General features: G+C 39.7%; 1 protein-coding gene across 8 annotated transcripts in view, besides 1 other annotated feature; it reads right to left on the bottom strand.

Moving 5' to 3' along the window:
* Positions 1-21728, bottom strand: part of USP9X (ubiquitin specific peptidase 9 X-linked) — a 151135-nt gene that overhangs the window by 24420 nt on the left and 104987 nt on the right. For all 8 annotated transcript variants that reach the window (NM_001410748.1, NM_001410749.1, XM_047442548.1 and 5 more), the window contains 7 exons: positions 15801-15909; positions 15422-15568; positions 14650-14796; positions 13410-13632; positions 10880-11100; positions 6667-6857; positions 1478-1651 (listed from right to left, as the gene is read on the bottom strand). In NM_001410748.1, coding sequence (NP_001397677.1) covers positions 1478-1651; positions 6667-6857; positions 10880-11100; positions 13410-13632; positions 14650-14796; positions 15422-15568; positions 15801-15909 — 1212 coding nt within the window. The remainder of the gene's footprint in view (positions 1-1477; positions 1652-6666; positions 6858-10879; positions 11101-13409; positions 13633-14649; positions 14797-15421; positions 15569-15800; positions 15910-21728) is intronic.
* Positions 321-1038: an enhancer, noted in NCBI's record as "H3K27ac-H3K4me1 hESC enhancer chrX:41070375-41071092 (GRCh37/hg19 assembly coordinates)". NCBI's record gives its function as "activates a minimal SCP1, AML or CMV promoter by ChIP-STARR-seq in primed H9 embryonic stem cells {active_cell/tissue: H9 hESC(primed)}" and the evidence as "EXISTENCE:reporter gene assay evidence [ECO:0000049][PMID:30033119]".

Raw genomic sequence — 21728 nt, 5'->3', positions numbered from 1 at the left:
AAGGTCACAGATCAACAGGATCCTAAGGCAGAAGAATTTTTCTTAGTACAGAACAAAATGAAAAGTCTCCCATGTCTACCTCTTTCTACACAGACACGGCAACCATCCGATTTCTCAATCTTTTCCCCACCTTTCCCCCCTTTCTATTCCACAAAACCGCCATTGTCATCATGGCCTGTTCTCAATGAGCTGTTGAGTACACCTCCCAGACGGGGTGGTGGCCGGGCAGAGGGGCTCCTCACTTCCCAGTAGGGGCGGCCGGGCAGAGGCACCCCTCACCTCCCGGATGGGGCGGCTGGCCGGGCGGGGGGCTGACCCCCCCACCTCCCTCCCGGACGGGGCGGCTGTCCGGGCAGAGGGGCTCCTCACTTCCCAGTAGGGGCGGCCGGGCAGAGGCACCCCTCACCTCCCGGATGGGGCAGCTGGCTGGGCGGGGGGCTGACCCCCCTACCTCCCTCCCGGACGGGGCGGCTGGCCGGGTGGGGGGCTGACCCCATCACCTCCTTCCCGGACGGGGCGGCTGGCCGGGCAGAGGGGCTCCTCACTTCCCAGTAGGGGCAGCCGGGCAGAGGCACCCCTCACCTCCCGGACGGGGGTAAAATCTTTTTTTACAATAGGTTTGATATGTTTTGTATACAAATATACCTTAAAGATAATGACAATAATCAATGCTATTTTAAAAGTCATTATTTCATTTGTATAGGAAATACTACCATAGCTTTGTCATCTTCTAAACTTACTGTATTTACACTATTATAATCACTCAAGTTCTAAGATAAAGGGCAAATTTATAAATAACACCTGTAGCTATATGCAAAATGCCATTTTATTTCCTCAGGAATAATCTTCTGTAAAAGAATGTAAGAGTAGGCCAGGCGCAGTGGCTCACGCCTGTCATCTCAACACTTTGGGAAGTTGAGGTGTGACGACTGATTTTGAGGTCAGCAGTTTTGAGACCAGCTTGGGCAACAAGAGATTCGATCTCTAAAAAAATTTACAAATTAGCCAGGTGTGGTGGCACATGCCTGTAGTCCCAGCTATTTGAGAGGCTGAGGCAGCAGGATTGCTTGAGCCCACAAGTTCAAAGTTACTATGAGTTACGACCATGCCACTGAACTCCAGCCTAGGCAACAAAGAGAAACCTTGTCTCTTTCAAAAAAGAAAGAAAGAAAAAAAAAGAGAAAGGAAAAGAAAAAGGAGAAAGGAAAGGAAAGGAAAGGAAGAAAGAGACTGTAAGAGTATAATATAATAAAATGGCTAAGAGATCAGGCAGAGTAGAAGGAACTAAAAGTTAACTGACAAAAACAAAAAAAAGCCCCACAGCAGTAAGGTATGCAAAGTATATAAATCATTCTGTTTCAGGTATTTAGTAATCAGTGATATACTCCACTTTTGTATGTAAGTACTAGTAAAAATTTTATTTCTGTTAGTATATACATGGTACAACATATACTTTCAATGTGTAATTAGTACTTACCTATGTGGGCAGCCTTGGCAGATCTTCTGATCAGCAAAGGAACCTCCTAAGACTTTACTTAGCATAGCTGGATGTCCTAAAGCTTTTAAAGCTTCATCTAAACTATCCACCAATGAATTAAAAAATTCTAAAGCATCGTGTTGTTCACGCAGATTAACAGGCTCACCCCAAAGCCTAAGAAATGAATGAAATAAAACATGTAACATGTAACATTCACAGAACAATATGTACAACTATATTTTTCAGGGGAAAAAAAAGCAACAAGACCACAAACAACAGTATATAAAACCGAGATTTTATTCCTCAATTACATGGAAAAAGTAGGAAAAAAAGAATGTGCTTTCCCTGTAGAATGTAGTGGGGTAAGAGAGTGAGCCTCATAGTAAAACTAGTACTCTAGCGGCAAAGAACTGCCACAAAACTAGTGGTGTAATTGATGGATAGTACGGCTCCAGGAAGGATGGTTGCTTCAGGTGGTATGACACATGCATGCATTTTGAATCCAATTAAAGATACTATTAAGATGAGGTGGTGGATCTCACTCTTATGTGGATGTTACAATCACTATTTTATTTCTTTCATTTTGCTTAAATTTTGGATTATAAATAGTAAAAAGATCAGATCTAGTTACTCTTAAATTTATTTTTTTCCCAAGTGAAGAGAGAAAGGTTTAACTTGTTCTAGAGTTAATCTCTTGAGTAATCTAAGAAAAGACACCATCACTACATACCACAAAAATGAGAACTCATACTGCTAAAACTCAGGCACTGCTGGAAACTATCAATAATACCTGATTTTGTATATACAGAATAATGTATATAGAGAATTTAAGTGTATTTGTTCTAAGCAAGAAATGACATTTTAAAGTATGCAAGAACTGTCTGTTTATACTTTTGTAAAAACCTTTTCTACATAGCAAATAATCTGATCTCTATTATATTTTACACAAGTAAAAATTTGTATACAGTAAGTTTAAAATCAAATATATTATTTGTTAAAAATCAGCTTGTTTCATTACTGGAAATTACACCAGTCCGTTCTATTTACTTTCAAACCATATTCAACTCCTCAAACTTTCAAACATGTAATCAACTAATTTCAAAAGGGAAAAGGTACCCTTTATAAAGGAGAGATCTGTTAAGACACCAAGAAATCAAAATTAATATCACTTAATAATTAAGTGGATAACACATGCCTCCCAATACAGTGCAGTGAGAAACACAAAACATCAATTATGTAGTTTTATTGCCCCCACCCCCTCAACATTTAACATAAAGCTAATCATCAGGAAACAATCACACAAATCAAAAAACACATTCTGCAAGACAACTGGCCTGGATTCTTTAAAAATTTCAGTGCGATACAAGTCACAAGTTAGGGAGATTATTTTACATAAAAGGCAACTAAAGAGCTAACAGCCAAATCCTTGTGATTCCTTCATGAGTATCAGATTGGGATAGAGAGATAAGTTATAAAGACCACTTTTGGGAAATCGGAATATATACTGATGAATATTAGAGATTAAAAATCGTTATTATATTACTTGGATATAACTGTATCATACATAAGTAGGAAAATTGCCTTATTCTGATATATGATCTCTTATAAGATATATGTTGAAGTATGAAGGGGTGAAGCGTCCTGTTTGCAACTTCACTATCAACTTAAGAAAAAAGGCCGGGCGCGGTGGCTCACGCCTGTAATCCTAGCATTTTGGGAGGCCGAGCCGGGTGGATCACGAGGTCAGGAGTTCGAGACCACCCTGGCTAACACAATGAAACTCTGTCTCTACTAAAAATACAAAAAATTAGCTGGGCATTGGTGGCAGGCGCCTGTAGTCCCAGCTACTCGGGAGGCTGAGGCAGGAGAATGGTGTGAACCCAGGAAGGGGAGCTTGCAGTGAGCCGAGATCACGCCACTGCACTCCAGCCTGGGCGACAGAGCGAGACTCCATCTCAAAAAAACAAAAAACAAACAAACAAACAAACAAAACTTAAAAAAAAAATAAACCAAAAACCAAGCACACATATGGCAAGATAAGCAAATATGGCAAAATGTTAATTAGTAAAACCGCATAAAGAATATAACATAAAGGTGATAATTATACCTCTTCTTCATCTTTTCTGTAGGTTTGAAACTTTTCAAAATAAAAGAGTGGGGTGAGGAAGTGTAGTTAACTAACCCGCTTGTGTCAAGAGTAGATTATGTGTCTAAAGTGTGGATAATCCAAAGTGCTAGTCTATACAAACCGAGCTCCACTAGCACAGCGAGTAACTGAAAAGTCAAAAAAGCAAAGGCATTACAAGAGAAAAAATTGTAACTGAATGACAAGACGAAAGTTTAAAAAGTGTAAGCCTCAGCTGGGCGCAGTGGCTCTCGCCTGTAATCCCAGCACTTTGGGAGGCTGAGGCGGGTGGATCACCTGAAGTCAGGAGTTCAAGACCAGCCTGATGAATATGGTGAAACCCAGTCTCTACTAAAAATACAAAAATTAGCTGGGCATGGTGGCAGGCGCCTGTAATCCCAGCTACCAAGACAGGAGAATTGCTTGAACCCAGCGGGCAGAGGTTACCGTGAGCCGAGATCACACCACTGCACTCTAGCCTGGGCCACAGAGTGAGACTCTGTCTCAAAAAAAAAAAAAACCCAGTATAAGCCTCTGTTTGTGTTCTTCAGTTTGGAAGAGCATAAACAGAAATGCTAAAATAGCCTTAAGGCAGAGATGGAATTGGAATAACCTAGGGAAAGAAGACAGAACTGAAATAGTCAGAGAGGAGGGAGAATGGTATGCTGGGTGACGGGACTAAAAGCAAAATGAGAGATGGGAGGGAGGGTGGTCCACGCAAGACACTAGTACAGAGTAAGTAGAGGGCCTAGTTAGGGGAGGAAAAGAAATTTATACTGCTTTGTCAGAAGAAGGGAAGGCGGATCAGAGTATCAGGTGACCCTTCGTTCCCCGCTCCTCTCAGCTGGCCGGGAAGCACCTTGAAGGGATTCCAAGGAGGATTACTTACAAAACAAAACAAACCAAACCTCACTGCTATAAAGAATTATACCCCTTTTCATACACAGTAAGAGTTACGTGGTTGTACTGTAGTTATTTTAGCACAGTGCATGACGTAGTACTGACTTAAAGTCAAAGGAAACAAGATAAAAATGTAATCTGAGTTTTCTAACTTAAAAAGAAAATGGTGAGGGCAATTTTCCCTTTATAGATCTTTTCTAGCTATTAAATGAAAAAATAAAATATTGTTATTTTATAACCCTGAAGAAATACTGTATTAAGATAATGATAATTGGCCAGGTGCAGTGGCTCACGCCTGTAATCCCAGCACTTTGGGAGGCCGAGGCGGGTGGATCACCTGACGTCAGGAATTTGAGACCAGCCTGGCCAACACGGCGAAACCCTATCTCTACTAAAACTACAAAAAATTAGCGGGGTGTGGTGGGCCTGTCGTCCTAGCTACTTGAGAGGCTGAGGCTGAAGAATTGCTTGAACCTGGGAGGCAGAGGTTGCAGTGAGCTGAGATCGAGCCATTGCACTTCAGCCTGGGCAACAGAGCAAGACTCTATCTCCAAAAAAAAAAAAAAAAAAAAAAAAAAGGCCAGGGAGCAGTAGCTCATGCCTATAATCCAGCACTTTGGGAGGCAGGCAGATCACCTGAGGTCAGGAGTTCGAGACCAGACTGGCCAACATGGTGAAACCCCGTCTCTACTAAAAATACAAAACTTGGCCGGGCATGGTTGGCCCACGCCTGTAACCCCTGTTAACCCTAGCTACTCAGGAGGCTGAGGCAGAATTGCTTGAACCCAGGAGGCGGAGGTTGCAGTGAGCTGAGATCACGCCACTGTACTCTAGCCTGGGCGACAGAGCAAAGACTCCATCTCAGGGGAAAAAAAAAAATTGTATATATATAATAATAATAATAAAAAATTGCTGTTAACATCATAAGAAGACAGACATTATAATGTCACTCCTCATGGAGATAAACATTATCCCCTATGAAGTAGCGTTGCCTATCCATTCCACAAAAAGAAAAATAATACCACAATCTGATCAAGCCTCTAGATCTCATAAGGTGTTTATAGAAGATGCAGGTGACCAAGAAAAACAGAAAATAATAAACGACCACAGGGATTCCATCAACAAAATTCAGACTGTGGGAAAATTTACATGCTAAACTATTTGTCCTCCGATTCCCCCATAATTGTAAAGGGAAAAAAGAAACAGATGAATAATCAAGATCATTACCAACCATTTGTGGTAAATGGACCTCAACTGAATCTTATTTTTAAAAAATATCAGTAAAAACCAGTTATGAGATAACTCGGTAAATTCAAACACTGACAGAGATATTTGATATTAAGCAATTTTAAAAAAACATAATGGTATCATGATCATGTTTTGAGACAGACACTACAGACACATACTTAAGTATTTACAGATGGAACTAAGATTTGCTTCAAAACAATCTAGAAAGAAATAGGTAGGGGCCGGGCACAGTGGCTCACGCCTGTAATCCCAGCACTTTGGGAGGCTGAGATGGGAATCACCTGAGGTCAGGAGTTCGAGACCAGTCTGGGCCAACATGGTAAAACCCCGTCTCCACTAAAAATACAAAAAATCAGCTAGGCGTGGTGGTGGGTGCCTGTAATCCCAGCTACTTGGGAGGCTGAGGCAGGAGAATCACTTGAATCTGGGAGGCGGATGTTGCAGTGAGCCAAGATCACACCACTGCACTCCAGCCTGGGCAACAAGAGCAAAACTCCATCTCAAAAAAAAAAAAGAAAAAAAGAAAAAGAAAAAGAAAAAAAGAAAAAAAAAATAGGTTAAGAATATAGATTAAATGAGGCTGGCCACAAGTTGACTACTACTGAAGTTGGGTGACAAGTATACAGGGGTTCATACTATTTTTTCTACTTCTGTATTTATTAGATGTTTTCCTAATAAAAAGTTAATAATATGGTTAAGAGACTAAAGGATGTTGCCCTTACTTACTATGGCAGTTTCTACTTCTTCCTAAGGGGACCTAAAAAAAAAAAAAAAAACCCACCCAATTAAGGACAGTTTGAATATTACCAGTGCTTAAAAAAAGATGCCTTCCAACATGTCTTTTAGAGGTTTAATGTTAGTGTATTGAGATGTTCATTTTAAGAAGTATCTCTATTACTGTCCATCCATAGTTTACCTGAACTGTTTCCAAAATCCTCTGGGCACATAGTATTGCAGTCGAGAAGCAGCTAAATGACCAAAGATGACCTGAAGGTGTCTTAGGACACCAATGTTGTACTCTTTTCTATCTTCAGTTTTACTTAATGCTGGTTTATCTTCAAATTGTTGAGGATATCCAAATACATCATCCCTGGGATCAACATTGCTCTAGAAACCAAAAAATGTCACCAATGAGCTAAAGTATAATAAAATACGTTGAGACAAATGCCAAGCAGTTATTGAACAAATGATTTGTATTCCTATTATGCTCATTTCCAAAGCACTTTTCAATTTATAAATTTTTAGTTATTTAGTGTTTATCCCCACCATTTCACATATTAGTTATCATAACCAAATAACCCTGACCATGTGTAAGAAAGATAGATAATATAGTGTAGCATTAGCATAGTAATTTAGACTGAACTAGACATAAATGCAGGCTCTACCACTTATAAACCAAGTAACTTTGAGCAAGTAAAAACTACTTAAACTTTCTAGGCTTCAAGTTTCTTTATGTGTGAATGGGGGTAATATATCCTTTGTGTAGCTGTTGTATATAAAATGCTCAGATCTGTCAATAAAATATACCTATATCAGTATAGTCATTCTTTGCTTAATGACAGGGATAAATTCTGAGAAATGCATCATTAGGTATTTTGTCATGTGAACATCATAGTGTACCTATAAACCTAGATGGTATAGCCAATTGCTCCTAGGTTGTAAACTTGTACAGCATGTTACTGTACTACATACTGTAGACAACTGCAAACCAACGGTGAATCTGTGCATCTAAAAATAGAAAAGGTACAGTAAAAATACGACATTATAATCTCATTGGACTACTGTCATATATATGGTCTGTAATTGTCTGAAACGTTGTTATGTGGTGCATGACTAGTACTCTTCCACAAATGGTGCTGGGTAAACTGGATAATCCACATGCAAAAGAATAAAGTTGAGCCCTTATGAAACACTACATACAAAAATTAACTCAAAATGGATCAAAATCCTAAATGTAAGAGCTAAAACCACAGAACTGTTAAAAAAAAAAAAAAAACATAGGGCAAAAGCTTCAAGACACTGGATTTGGCAGTGATTTCTTGGATATGACATCAGAGGTACAGGCAACAAAAGAAAGTATCTGCAAATCACATATCTGATATGGAGTTAATATCTAGAACATACAGAGAACTCTTAAAACTCAACAACACAACTCAATTTAAAAATAGACAAAGAAGATCAACAAGTGGCCAATAATAAGCACAGCTAAAGATGCTCAAAATCGTTAACCATTTGGTAAATGCAAATCAAAACCATGAGATACTACCTCACACTCAATTAGGGTGTCAACTACCAGAACGAGTGAGTATAACAAGTGTTGGCAAGGATATGGAGAAATTGGAGCTCTTGTGCAATGCTGGTAGGAATGTAAAATGGTGCAGTCACTCTAGAAAACAGTTCCTCAAAAAATTTGGCCGCATATGGTGGCTCATGCCTATAATCCCAGCACTTTGGGAGGCCAAGGTGGGTGGATCACCTGAAATCAGGAGTTCGAGACCAGCCTGGCCAATATGGTGAAATCCCATCTCTACTAAAAATACAAAAATTAGCGGGGTATGGTGGTGCGTGCCTGTAGTCCCAGCTACTCGGGAGGCTGAGGCAGGAGAATCGCTTGAACCCAGGAGGCAGAGGTTGCAGTGAGCTGAGATAGCACCACTGCACTCCAGCCTGTGTGACAGAGTGAGACTCTGTCTGAAAAAAATAATAAATAATAAAATAAAAATAGCATCACCAAATGATCTAGTACTTCCACTTCTGAGCATATGCCTGGAAATATTGAAAGCAGGACCTCAAACAGCTATTTGTATATCCATGTTCATGGCAGCCTTATTCACAATAGCTCAAATGGGGAAGCAACCCAAATGTCCATCGACAAATGAATGGATAAGGAAAATGTGGTATATACATATAATGGAATATTACTTAGACTTTAAAATGAAATAAGCCAGCTATGCAAAGGCAAACACTGTATGATTTCACTTATATAATCACTTATATGAGGTATGTAGAGTAGTCAATCATAGAGACAAAAAGAATAGTAGTTGCCAGAGGCTGTGGGGAGGGAGAATGGGGAGTAGCTTAATGACTACAGTTTGAGTTTTGCAATATGAAGAGTTTTGGAGATGGGTGGTGGTGATGGTGTACAACAATGTAAATGTATTTAATAGGACAACTGCACATTTAAAAACAGATGGTAAGTTTCATGTTATATGTATTTTACCACAATTTTAAAAAACAACAGAAGTAGTGGTGTAAGATGTAACATGAAGACAGAATTCCTAAAGGTCATAATCATATGGCAGCTACAAAGAAGAATGTGTTTTTACATTTAACTATCTTTCAGTATTCTCTGAGTTGTATCTGATAACTCTGATATAGAAATAGACAACAACCAGTCCCTGCCCATGAGAAACTTATACTCTAGGGATGGAAACAAAAACATAAGCCAAAAAAACCAAAACCCAAAAAACCCCACAAAAACTCCCACAGTACACTGGGGTGCAGAGACAACATGGAGCAGAGGATACCATGAGAGTAAAAGTGGTACACCTTATTTGAAATTGTGTTATATTTTCTATGCCTCATTTACTTCTTGCCAGTACAATTACCTATATCTACTTGTGTTTAACTCAATATCCCAGGTATATGATGGGCTCCAGAACTGGAATTTGAATTACATTTTTTTCCCAGAGCAGTGGTTTTTAATCAGGTATGGGTATAAGTGTCCTTTATGAAGCTTTTTTTTATAAAGTGAAAGTGCTCAGAACCCAATCCCTAGACCATCTGGCACAGCAGGTCTAGGGAAGAGTTGAGGCAAGTAGATGTTTCAGAAGCTCCAATTGATAAACTACTTCTTCAGAGCAAAATCAGTTCTGGCAACTGAAGGGAGGGAATGAAAAGAACCATTTACTACAATTAGAATATACTCTGGCTTCTCTCTTCAGTTCCCACTATCACTATAAACAGGAAAAGTAAAACCAAGGAAATATTACATGGTAAGCACAAACATGACCACAACTTAAGTCTTCTTGCCATATGCTCTTCTTTAAAGAGCTATCTTACAGTTATGTCAATTCTGATTCGCCACTACAACTCAACTTCTTCACTGCTTTATACTGCACTGGATACTCAGTAGGCAGCCTAAATTTTGCCACAAGACTACGTGAGACTATTTAAAGTAGGGAAAGTTTGTTTCCTAATCAAGAAGAGCTATGATCTAAGGGAAATTCAAAGAATAACCTAAAAGTAAGCACACACAGTGAAATTGGCAGATACTGTATAACTTGGCATAAAATAGAAAATTAAAATTTAGAAATAGAAAAGTAAAAATTTAAAACTATTATCAAAAATGAAGGTTCTTACCATCAAACAAACCCCAAATTATACTAAACACTCTACACAAAAAAACACGAGTACATTAACTGTTGCTTTTTTTTTTTGAGACGGAGTCTCGCTCTGTCACCTAGGCTGGAGTGCACTGGTGCCATCTCAGCTCATCGCAACCTCCACCTTCCGGGTTCAAGTGATTCTCCTGCCTCAGCCTTCCGAGTAGCTAGGACTACAGGCATGTGCCACCACACCCAGCTAATTTTTGTATTTTTAGTAGACATGGGGTTTCACTATGTTGGCCAGGCTGGTCTTGAACTCCTGACCTCAGGTGATCCACCTGCCTCAGCTTCCCAAAGTGCTGAGATTATAGGTGTGAGCTACCATGCCCAGCCAACTGTTGCTTTAGAAATGTACAAACCATTCTAAAAATTATCTGCAGTTTAAATTCTGGTAGGTAGTGAGAACTATACTATGTTAAGAGGTAGCAGTTCATGCTGGCTGGGAGAAGTCCATCCCTACTTACTTTTTCTTTTTCTTCTGAGACAGGGTCTCACTCTGTAACCCAGGCTGGAGTGCAGTGGCATGATCATGGCTCACTGCAGCCTCCAGCTCCCAGGCTCAAGCAATCCTCCTGCCTCAGTTTCCTGAGTAGCTGAGACCACAGGTGTGTGCTCGGCCCATCCCTAACTTTCAAATATACTTTAATACGTTTGATGAAAGTATAACACTCTCTTAAGAGAGAATAGTATCTGGTATCATAACTTGAAACACAGAAAACAGAAATGGTAACTCAAATTTACCTCATTGTCCTGCTTCTCATCCCCAGACATATCATCATCTACATCACTACCTGTGCCTTCAATGGCAAGAATACCGTTCCTAATGGAAGGAATCATGTAGAGTTGCTGAATCACAGAATTCATGTAACAAGTAGCACCGGCATTTTTCAGCCCCACGAATCCTTTGGGTGGGCGGGGTCCAACAGGTGGCAGATATTCCCACTCAGTAAGTGCTTCACAAGCTGAGAGAAGGAAAGATTCTTGTAGCATGAACACGGCCATTCTGTCCTTTCAAACTCTATTATGCTGACAAAGCAACCCTGGCAATAATTCTACCACCCATAATTCGACTAACCCTACAGCAACCTGAAGCAGTGTTCTGAGTTTGCACTTCATCTTCCAACAATCTAAAATATACAGCAACAGGCACCACTGTGCAGCTTCTTATCCAATCACCCGCAAACCCGTTTCATATGATGTTGCTTCTATGGCAGTCTCAAAAGTACAAGATAGTATAATTCTAATGTCTACATGCTAACTTTACTTGCATCTTTATTTTTAGCCATTATTCACTTTCTTAATATTTGATACTTTTGCCTTCAAATTTGGCAAGGAATGAAATGTTATCTAAATATATCAACACATTATAATTTTCTCAGTTTTAAATAATCCTAAAACCACATGGGCTCACATCCTGGTTCTGATGCTTACCACTTTTTTTCCCCCACCTTTAGGTAACTTTCTGTTTCTTCCTAGTAAATGTAATAATAAAAGTAACACTTGCTTTCCTGATATCTATAATGCTATTTTGAGGAGCAAGCAAGACAGCAGATTTGTGATAATTGTAAATCACTGTACATCTTCCTATCTCCCTCCACCTAGTATAAACCTGGAAACAACATTAAGTATCATTGTCTAGGGGGCCAGTTAATTATATCATACCAAACTGCATGGCCAAAAATGGAATTAGGTAAATATTTCTGTGTTGACAGGGAACAATGGCAGATAGGGAAGGATGCAAACAACGTTGTACTATACTCCAATCTGTGATTAAAAAATTAACCCCCATTAAGTTAAAAAAAAAATACAAGAATTCTCACAATACATAGATTTGATAGGACAGCTAAAGGTCTAACCTTTTAAGCAATCAATTTATTCAGAAATTCCTGAGATGTTATTTAAAACTTCCAAACATTCTGAAACACATCAAAAAGTAATTTGACATGTTCTTAAAGATTTACTATAATCAATTATATTCTTAAGTGTTCTAAATAGCGATTTTCTCTTAAAACAGCATCAATTATGCTTATTTCTGCTTTTTCTGTTATTAATATTTTATATTGCCCTTGCCCTTTTGAGCTTCAATTCCTTATCTGTAAGGTCTGAAATCTGCAGCCTATTCATGCGCCTGGTGTGGGCATTAAATGAGAACATAAATAAGGTGCACCAAAATGGTAACTTCTCACGTTCTAATCTTCAAAGCCAGATTTTCTTCGAACTCATAACGTTACGGAACTTCTAAGTGAAGACCTGAAAGGTTTTCCAATACATGCAACTTAAAGTTTTAAGTCTGGGCCAGGTGCGGTGGCTCACACCTGTAATTCCAGCACTTTGGGAGGCCGAGGCAGGTGGATCACCTGAGGCCAGGAGTTCAAGACTAGCCTGGCCAACATGGTGAAACCCTATCTCTACTAAAAATACAATATTAGCCAGGCATGGTGGCAATACAAAATTAGCCAGGCATGGTGGCAGGCGCCTGTAAGCCCAGCTACTTGGGAGGCTGAGGCAGGAGAATCACTTGAACCCGAGAGGTTGCAGTGAGCCGAGATCGCGCCACTGCACTCCAGCCTGGGCAACAAGAGTGAAACTCCGTCTCAAAAAAATAAATAAATAAAATAAAGTTTTACGTCTATACTCTACGGCATTTACTTTGGCTACCTTTTAATCTGGAGTTTGAATTTTATGACAGGTTTCATGAGATGAAATTTATCTTGCCAAATGGCGACACCACTTATAGGATGCCACTTAACAAATGTTTGAATTTTTTTCTATACAAGGTGGTCTGCTTATAATGGTCTTATTTTTCTTTTTTCTTTTCTTTTCTTTTCTTTTTTTTCTGAGATGGAGTCTTGCTCTGTCACCCAGGATGGAGTGCAGTGGCGCGATCTCGGCTCACTGCAACCTCCACCTCCTGGGTTCAAGCAATTCTCCTGTCTCAGCCTCCTGAGTAGCTGGGATTACAGGTGTGCACCACAATGCCCAGCTAATTTTTGTATTTTTTGTAGAGACAGGGTTTCACCATGGTCAGGCTGGTCTCAAACTCCTGACCTCAGGTGATCCACCCACCTTGGCCTCCCAAAGTGCTGGGATTACAGGCCTGAGCCACCGTGCCCGGCCTATAATGGTCTTAACTGTTCATTCACTCACTAAAAATGTTAAACTAGTTACTGAAAGAAATACGTAAGTTGGAAATATTTTCTGAAAGAAAAACAGGAAAACAACTTTGAAACATTGAAATGATCAATTATCACATTCTATTAAAAATACTTACTAGTTATTGCTGTGCCAATGTAATACATTTCAGTCAAAGAATCTACTATTTGTTTGAGATTCCTCACACAGCCAACAGCTAATGCTACAAGTAATTCAAAACCAGCATTAATTGTAGGTGGTGAACCACAGACCGGAATAGCCTGTTCAGCTGGAAGCTCTCCATTTCTCATATACTGTAGGTAAACATTGGATGCAGGAAATATGAAATCATCAATTAATTCCTAAAAAGTTGAAAAAGGGATTACATATTAGCAATGCTATATATTTTTAGAAAAAAAAAGTTCTCTTGTAAGTAAATCATTTTAAAATTACTCATTGGAATTTAAGATCTCATTACATCTCAGAAAACTCAGATTTTCTAATAAAAAGATCTTCCTTCAAAACACTATTTACTATCACTAACATACCTAATTTCGCAGGTTAAATAAATTTGTAAATATTAAGAAAGAACTGAATATAGTACTTATCAAAATTTTTATTTTAAATGTTTGCTCCTTTAATCAAGTGTATAGCAAATTAAACCCATTTTGAATAGAAATAAAATGTACAAAAATGAAACTTTGTTTCCTTGTGTTACTACATGTATGAAAAAACTCATTAAAGATATACAAGATGCATTCTTACAAAACAGAGGTTTGCCTCATTAAATGAAATTAACAATTCAGATTTTCCAAAGAGAAAAACTAAACAACAATTACTTTATAAAGTATCTTATTTATTTATCTATTTATTTTGAGACAGGGCCTTGCTCTGTTCCTTCAGGCTGGAGTGCAGTGGTGCGATCTCAGCTCACTGCAACCTCCACCTCCTGGGCTCAGGTGATCCTTCCATCTCAGCCTCTCAAGTAGCTGGGGACCATGGGTGTGCGCCACCACACCTGGCAATTTTTTTTTTTTCTTTTGTAGAGAAGGGGTTTCACCATGTTGCCCAGGCTGGTCTTCAACTCTTGGGCTCAAGCCATCCACTGGACTCGGCCTCCCAAAGTACTGGGATTACAGGCATGAGGCCAGCAAGTCCAGCCATGAAATCTTATTTAAATACAAATTTAGAAATGTCTCTTGAATAAAGTAAGGCATAACTGTATTTCTTAAATTACTGTAAATTTGATAAAGATTCTTAAAAAAGAGAAAAGATCAAGAAAGTACAAAGACATGATACTACTATAAATTAATTAAATTTGATTATAAACATTTAGAAGGTTATGATATGTAGCTTACAACCAAGAACACAGAACTTACTTTAATGAGATTAGCACCTCCTTTTTCACAACCAATATGAAATTTTTTCTCAGAAGTTTGAAAGGCCAGTAACTCCTTTGTCACTCCAAGGTGGCCCTCTAAGATCGTCTCTTCAATACCCGTTTCTCCTGTTCTTTTAACATCATCCTGCCAAAGGCGGGGGGTGGGGTGGGGGGGGGAAGAAATCAAATGTCTAGCTTATGAAAGGGAGGTAAAGAGGGAGAGAGGAGCCAGAACGAGACAGAGCTGGAGGGATATGAGATAATTTCCTTAAGTCTTTCCATTCAAACAACTTTGTTTTCTTCAGAACTTTCTAGAAATTGGCTTTATGAACTACTAGAAGAAATGCTAATTTGAAGGTTAAAAACTACAAATCTCTTCAGAAATAAATTCTTGTATCATTTTGCCTAAGTAAAAAGTATCAGATGTTATGGTAGAAAGTTCTGCTCTATCAGACTCATTTTTGACATAAACAATTCAAGAATACTTTTTTTAAAAATTAGAATTTGCAAAAAGGCCCAAAATGCTAAAATAAAAGAAGCTGAACATCAGTATTTCAAGTGTCAAGTAAGCAATTCATTTTACTAAACTAGATATGCATTTTGTGAATCACAGATTACTAACGTCCACTGATGCAGAGTACATTCTTTGGTCCCTTTTATCAATCTTTGGAGTTTTCCATTTAACCAAAATGCTCAAAAAATATAAATCATCAATAAAACATTCTATTTACTAATAATGACATATAAATGGAGTATTAACTAAAACTTACCCTAATTCTTTTAAGCCAATCAATTTCATTATTGAGAAGAACTTCAGCATTGGGTACATTAATATTACTATTGTAAGCGTAATTAAGAAGGTGTCTTAAAAGAGTAAAGTAGTCGCCTGAGTGTTTAGCTCTCTCTCTTGCTGTGCTCTGGAAACAGAGTAGAATAATATCAATTTACACGTCCATCCTCAAAATCCACTTTTTTAAAAACCCAGAGTTAACTAGAGAAGATGACTACCACAGTGCGGGAAATAAAGTAGTACTTCATTTATTAAATATAGACTGTCCTAACTTTAATGCAAGCTAAAACCACAAATTTCTGAATGTTTCTTGCTTAAAGAATGAATCACATTGATAAGCATATTTTAAAAAGTCTCACCCCCAAAACAGTAAAGAGTAGAGTAATGAAGAAAAGTAGAGGCCGGTGTCCCATGCAACATCTGGTGCACATTAAAAAGAACTGCTCCTGTGCCACCTGACGAACAGTTCTGAAATAAAAAATGTTTCACATTTAATACATTATTTCCATTTTAAAAAATGATTGTAACATTGTTCCCTCTTGGGGAGGAGAGGTGGGGGGAGTATAAAAGGGAAATAAATTAATAGTAAGGATACAGGATTACCCTACCTACACACAACAAGCACTCAAGCCAACACCACATAATACATGAACTTAAGCTCTATGTCCAGGACTATAACCTCAAATTGACACTAAGAGTTTGAGGGATACCACCTTCTAACACCTCTTTCTTGGAACAGGCTGGAAATGTTCCTCTATATACCAAATGCTCTACTACAATAACCTTATGCATCTTTTTGGCCTTCCACAGAATTTTTATTCAACTGTGGTTCTGCACAACAGCTCTGTGGAAATTCTGTAGTAACCACGGTAAGGCTATTGTGGCAGATGTCTCTTACACCAGGGGTCCCCAAACCCCAGGCCAGAAGGCCAAATGAGCATTATGGCCTGAGCTCCGCCTCCTGTCAGATCAGCGGTGGCATTAGATTCTCATAGGAGCGCAAACCCTATTGAACTACACATGCAAGGGTTCTAGCTTATGTGCCCCTTATGAGAATCTAACTAATGCCTCATGATCTGAGGTGGAATCCTTTCATCCCGAAACCATCCCCCACTACCTCCCTGATCCACGGAAAAATTGTCTTCCATGAAACTGGGCCCTGGTGCCAAAAGGGTTGGGGACTGCTGCCGTATACCGTACTGGCAGTTCCAAAAGCACGGTCCCCAGAGCAGCAACATCAGCATTATCTGGGAACTTGTTAGAAATGCCAACTCTCAGGCTCCAATGCAGACCTCCTGAATCAGAAATACTGGAGGTGGGGCCCAGCAATGTGTTAATAAACTCTTTAGGTCAATCTGATGTGCACTAAACATTGAGAACCACAGGCTGGGTGCGGTGGCTCACACCTGTAACCCCAGCACTTTGGGAGGGTGAGGCGGACGGATCAGGAGGTCAAGAGGTCAAGACCATCCTAGCCAACATGGTGAAACCCCGTTTCTACTAAAAATACAAAAATTAGCCAGGCGTGGTGGTGGGTGCCTGTAATCCCAGCTACTTGGGAGGCTGAGGCAGGACAATTGCTTGAACCCGGAAGGCGGAGGTTGCAGTGAGCTGAGATCACGCCACTGCACTCCAGCCTGGTGACAGAGCAAGAATCCATCTCCAAAAAAAAGAAAGAAAAAAGAAAGATTGAGAATCACAATACCATATTTTCTCTCTGATGACCCTTGGGAAAACCTTGTCTCATGATTCTCAGATCTGGGAATCATGGATCTATCTTTTTTAAAAACTGTTATGTACTATATAGATCTCACTAGAATAAAATGCTCCAAGAGGGCAGAGACATCATCTACCTTTAATTAAAACTGTGCCATTGGAACCTAGAATAGTGTCTGGCGTATAAGAGGACCTCAAGAACCAGTTATCAAATGTGTAGTCTATCTCCATTACAAAGTAAGCTCTTTAAGGGTAGGGGCTTTCTTGATGCCAAAGGTCCTGGCACCTAGAACAATGTATGACACATGGAAGATGCTCAACAAGTACCTGCTAAGCATTTGTGAATATCTTATAGACATCACAAACTGCATTTCATGGATAACTACATTTCTGTCTTTGTGCTAGTTACTAGATAACTCAGAACCAAATTTATTTTTATTTATTTATTGACACAGAGTTTCGCTCTTGTTGCCCAGGCTGGTGTGCAATGGCAACATCTCGGCTCACTGCAACCTCCGCCTCCCAGGTTCAAGCGATTCTCCTGCCTCAGCCTCCCGAGTAGTTGGGATTATAGGTATATGCCACCACACCTGGCTAATTTTGTATTTTTAGTAGAGACGGCGTTTTTCCATGTTGGTCAGGCTGGTCTCGAACTCCCAACCTCAGGTGATCCGCCCGCCTCGGCCTCCCAAAGTGCTGGGATTACAGGCGTGAGTCACTGAGCCCAGCCCTCAGAACTTAATTTAAAGTACAAGTGTAAAGGACCTGACAGCATACATTCTGTGTACTAACCTCCCTCCCTAGAGGGTATCTTAGGTTTCTGAAAACAGTCCATAGGCCTATAAATCAGAGGGATTCAGAAGCCCCTAAAATTTTTGGAGGTAGAATTTGGGGGGAACCCAAGTAAACCAAAGTCAGGCGTATCTACTTTTCTGGGAGCAAGCCCATAACTTAATCAGATTTTCAAAGGTATGCTATTCCCACTGCTTTGGTTTACTAATTTTTCAATAAGCTAGGTATACAGCCCAAATATGAGGGGCAATAAAAAGTTGATGCTCGTGAATACCCGATAGAACTTCCCTGAGCAAATGCAGACTTCTAGAGTGCTTCAAAAGAAACACATTTCTGTCAACTAATCCTGTTGCCTCTATCTTCACAACAGTCAGTCCCTTTTACTTTAGACAGGGTTTCCCTCTGTCACCCAGGCTGTTTAGTGGCATCATCCTAGCTCACTGTAACCTCAAACTCTTGGGTTCAAGCAATCTTCCCACCTCAGCCTCCTGACTAGTTAGGACTACATGTGCATGCTACCACATCCAGCTAAAAAAAAATTTTTTTTGAGACTGGGTCTCGTTCTGTCACCCAGGCTAGAGTGCAGTGGCACGATCAGGGCTCACAGTAGCCTCATCCTCTCCGGGCTCAGGTGATCTGCCCACTTTAGCCTCCTGAGTAGTTGGGACTACAGGCATGTTCACCATACCCGGCTTATTTTTTCTATTTTCTTTAGAGACAAGGTCCCACTATGTTGCCCAGGCTGGTCTCAAACTCCTGGCCTCAAGTGATCCTCCTGTCTTGGCCTCCCAAAGTGCTGGGATTACAACCATGAGCCACCACTGCATGCAGCCCACTGTCATCTTTTATTTAAATTCATAAAATAGCTTGCTTTTCCTGCTATCCTACATACTATTCTTAACCAGAATAAACTTACAAAGTTAAGGTGGAGCACATCATTTCTCTGCTTAAAACCCTCTGAAAGATTCCCATCTCACTTAGGGTCAATGTCTTCACAATGACCTATAAAAACCCTCACAGGGTGTTTGTTATCCTCTCTGACTTTACTCCCTACAACTGTCCCCGTCCCCTACCGCCTCTGTTCCATCCACTCCAGTTTCCCTGCTGTTCTTTCACATGTCAGGCATGTTCCTGACATGCCTGGACATACACATCTGTTGTTTTTTCTGCTTAAAATATACTTTCTCCATGAGTCACATGGATTATTACTTTGCTCTGAAAGGTAATGATAAAAGGTGACCTCTAAACAAAGCTATCACCTTTGTGAAGTCTTCTTCAACTACCCTATAAAAAAATGAACTCCACTCATGCCCCGTACTACACAGCCCCTTTTCCTGCTTTATTTCACCCCCATAGCACTTATTCCTATCTGATATACTTCTCGTATGCCTTCTCTTCCCCCATCCCTTTTGGCATGTAAGCTCCTAGAAGGCTAAGATTTTGTCTGTTTTGCCATATCCACAGTGGGTAGTGTCTTGTAGACAATAGGTATTTGATCAATATTTACCAAACATATACATGAGACTGCCTACACCACATTAACATCAAACACTGCTTAGACCTTAGCACCATAGGCCTTCTGTCAAACTGACTCCCACTAACCTCCTGTACAGTATTATCCTTGACTCCTTTTCTAAACATTTAACCAAATACTCAGCTCTGCTCTGAAAGCACTATCCCAGGAGTGGCAAAGTCAAATGCTTTCTCGGATCAGAGAGGTAACATAAGTGAGTTAACTAGGCAGGGAATAAAACAACAGGCTGTGGAAACAGCAGAAAAAAATATCGTTTATCTAAAAGAATTTAAATCCATTGCAACTAACTACAATAAAATAAAGTCAGTGTCATGATGTGGAAGCAGACCATCTAACAGGAACAGAGGTCTAGGAAACCTTTCCTAGATTAGGGATAAGGAAAAGTTACTAGAATATGTGGCATTTAAGTTGAAACTTCTGAATGAGTAGAAGCAGGGACCAAATTATGGAGTGCTTATAAGCCAAATTTAAAAGTTTGAACTTAATTCAAAGATAACGGGAAGACATGGAAAGATTTTAAGCAGGAAAGCAACATGCTCATATTTTCTAGAGATCACTCTGCTTGCCGTGTAGTCAACAGATTAGAAGAGTACAACACTACAGGTGGGAAGATCAAGGATACTATGATTGTCCAGGCAATGGGTCCAGACTGCTTAGATCAGGGTAGACCATGAGGAGGAAAGTGTATGGAGTTCAAAGACACATGAAGTAAAAGCCACATAACTGGGAGTGAGAAAGGGAGAGAGAGAGCGCACTGGCAATGACCATCTTCTACTTTTATGCACATATAAATCCTGCCCAAACATGAGCTCACATGCTACATCCTGCACAAAACCTTCACTTTTGCTCCTTCCAGGTAGAAAGTAAGTTATGGCCTTTCCAATTCTCAAAGTATTTTACCTTTTATGGCACCAATTTCTCTCTCAAAGTTCCTTGAGTGCAAGAACTGCCTTATTTGACTTTGGTTTTAATTGCCAAGCACATAGGTAGGGATTCACATATTTGCTGGTGGATTATAATTACACCCAGAGCCCAATTTGTGTGGCAGAAATGTCAGAACTCAAGAAGCAGAAAACCTTCAGTCTTAGTGTTAGCATTTAGTGATCATTATGCCCTTGTTAGTCATTTAATTTCTACAGTCCTTGTGCCTCTCCATCAGCAAAGTCTACTTCTGAGTTGCTATACGGATTAAGTGAGAAGTACCTTGTAAATAACTATGCTTAAACGTTACTATAGGATTATAAACTCCATCTGAGGGGCAGATTTGTACACAGCTCACAATCCCTTATTTGAAACCCCTGGGGCCAGTATGTATTTGGGGATTCAATTTTTTTTTTTTTTTTTTTTGACATGGAGTTTCACTCTTATTGCCCAGGCTGGAGTACAATGGCGCGATCTCAGCTCACTGCAACATCCGCCTTCCGGGTTCAAGCAATTCTCCTGCCTCAGTCTCCCAAGTAGCTGGGATTACAGGCGCCCACCACAATGTCCAACTAATTTTTTGTATTTTTAGTAGAGTCGAGGTTTCACCATGTTGGCCACGCTGGTCTGGAACTCCTGACCTCAGGTGATCCACCTGCCTCAGCCTCCCAAAGTGCAGGGATTACAAGCATGAGCCACCGTGCCCGGCCTGGGGATTCAGATTTTAGAATATTAATGCCAATAATTAATGTCCAAGTCGGACTTGCTGACAAATTCTTACTAACGGGAAATAATGGATTTTGAACCTACATAGGTATTCAGATATTTATAAAAAATCAGGTACTTAAAACTCAAAAAGATCCTAACTTAGAACGCCCTCCCTATTATTGCAGACAATATGGTGACATAATGAGATAACATGCTTTCTACAGTACATTACCGCACTGCATGCAAGTTTCAGGGAAGAGAGGGGCAAAATGGTTCTGACTTATATAAGGGTAATTTTCATAAAGGGTAGAGGGCAAAAAACCCTGTTAAATCAAGTTCCTTAATAGTTAGTAGACTAAGAGATGAAATAAGTTCCTAATTTAAGATTTTAAAAATTCAACATAGAATAACAAACTTGCTACCCTCCAGGTTTGACATCATTAAAACTGTTGGCTAATCATCTTTCCTATCCTCACCATTCCCACACGTATGCATCATTAAATGGAATTAGACTTACTAAACCTATTTATCTTTTCCAACGTGCAGGATTGTCTTCTCAAGGAGGTAGCACGCCCAACCCGATTTGTGGGGATCCTGTTAAGAGTTTCTGAATAGG

Source organism: Homo sapiens, chromosome X (assembly GCF_000001405.40).
Source record: "Homo sapiens chromosome X, GRCh38.p14 Primary Assembly".
Classification (NCBI taxonomy): domain Eukaryota; kingdom Metazoa; phylum Chordata; class Mammalia; order Primates; family Hominidae; genus Homo; species Homo sapiens.
This window is presented reverse-complemented; position numbering and strand designations above follow the sequence as displayed.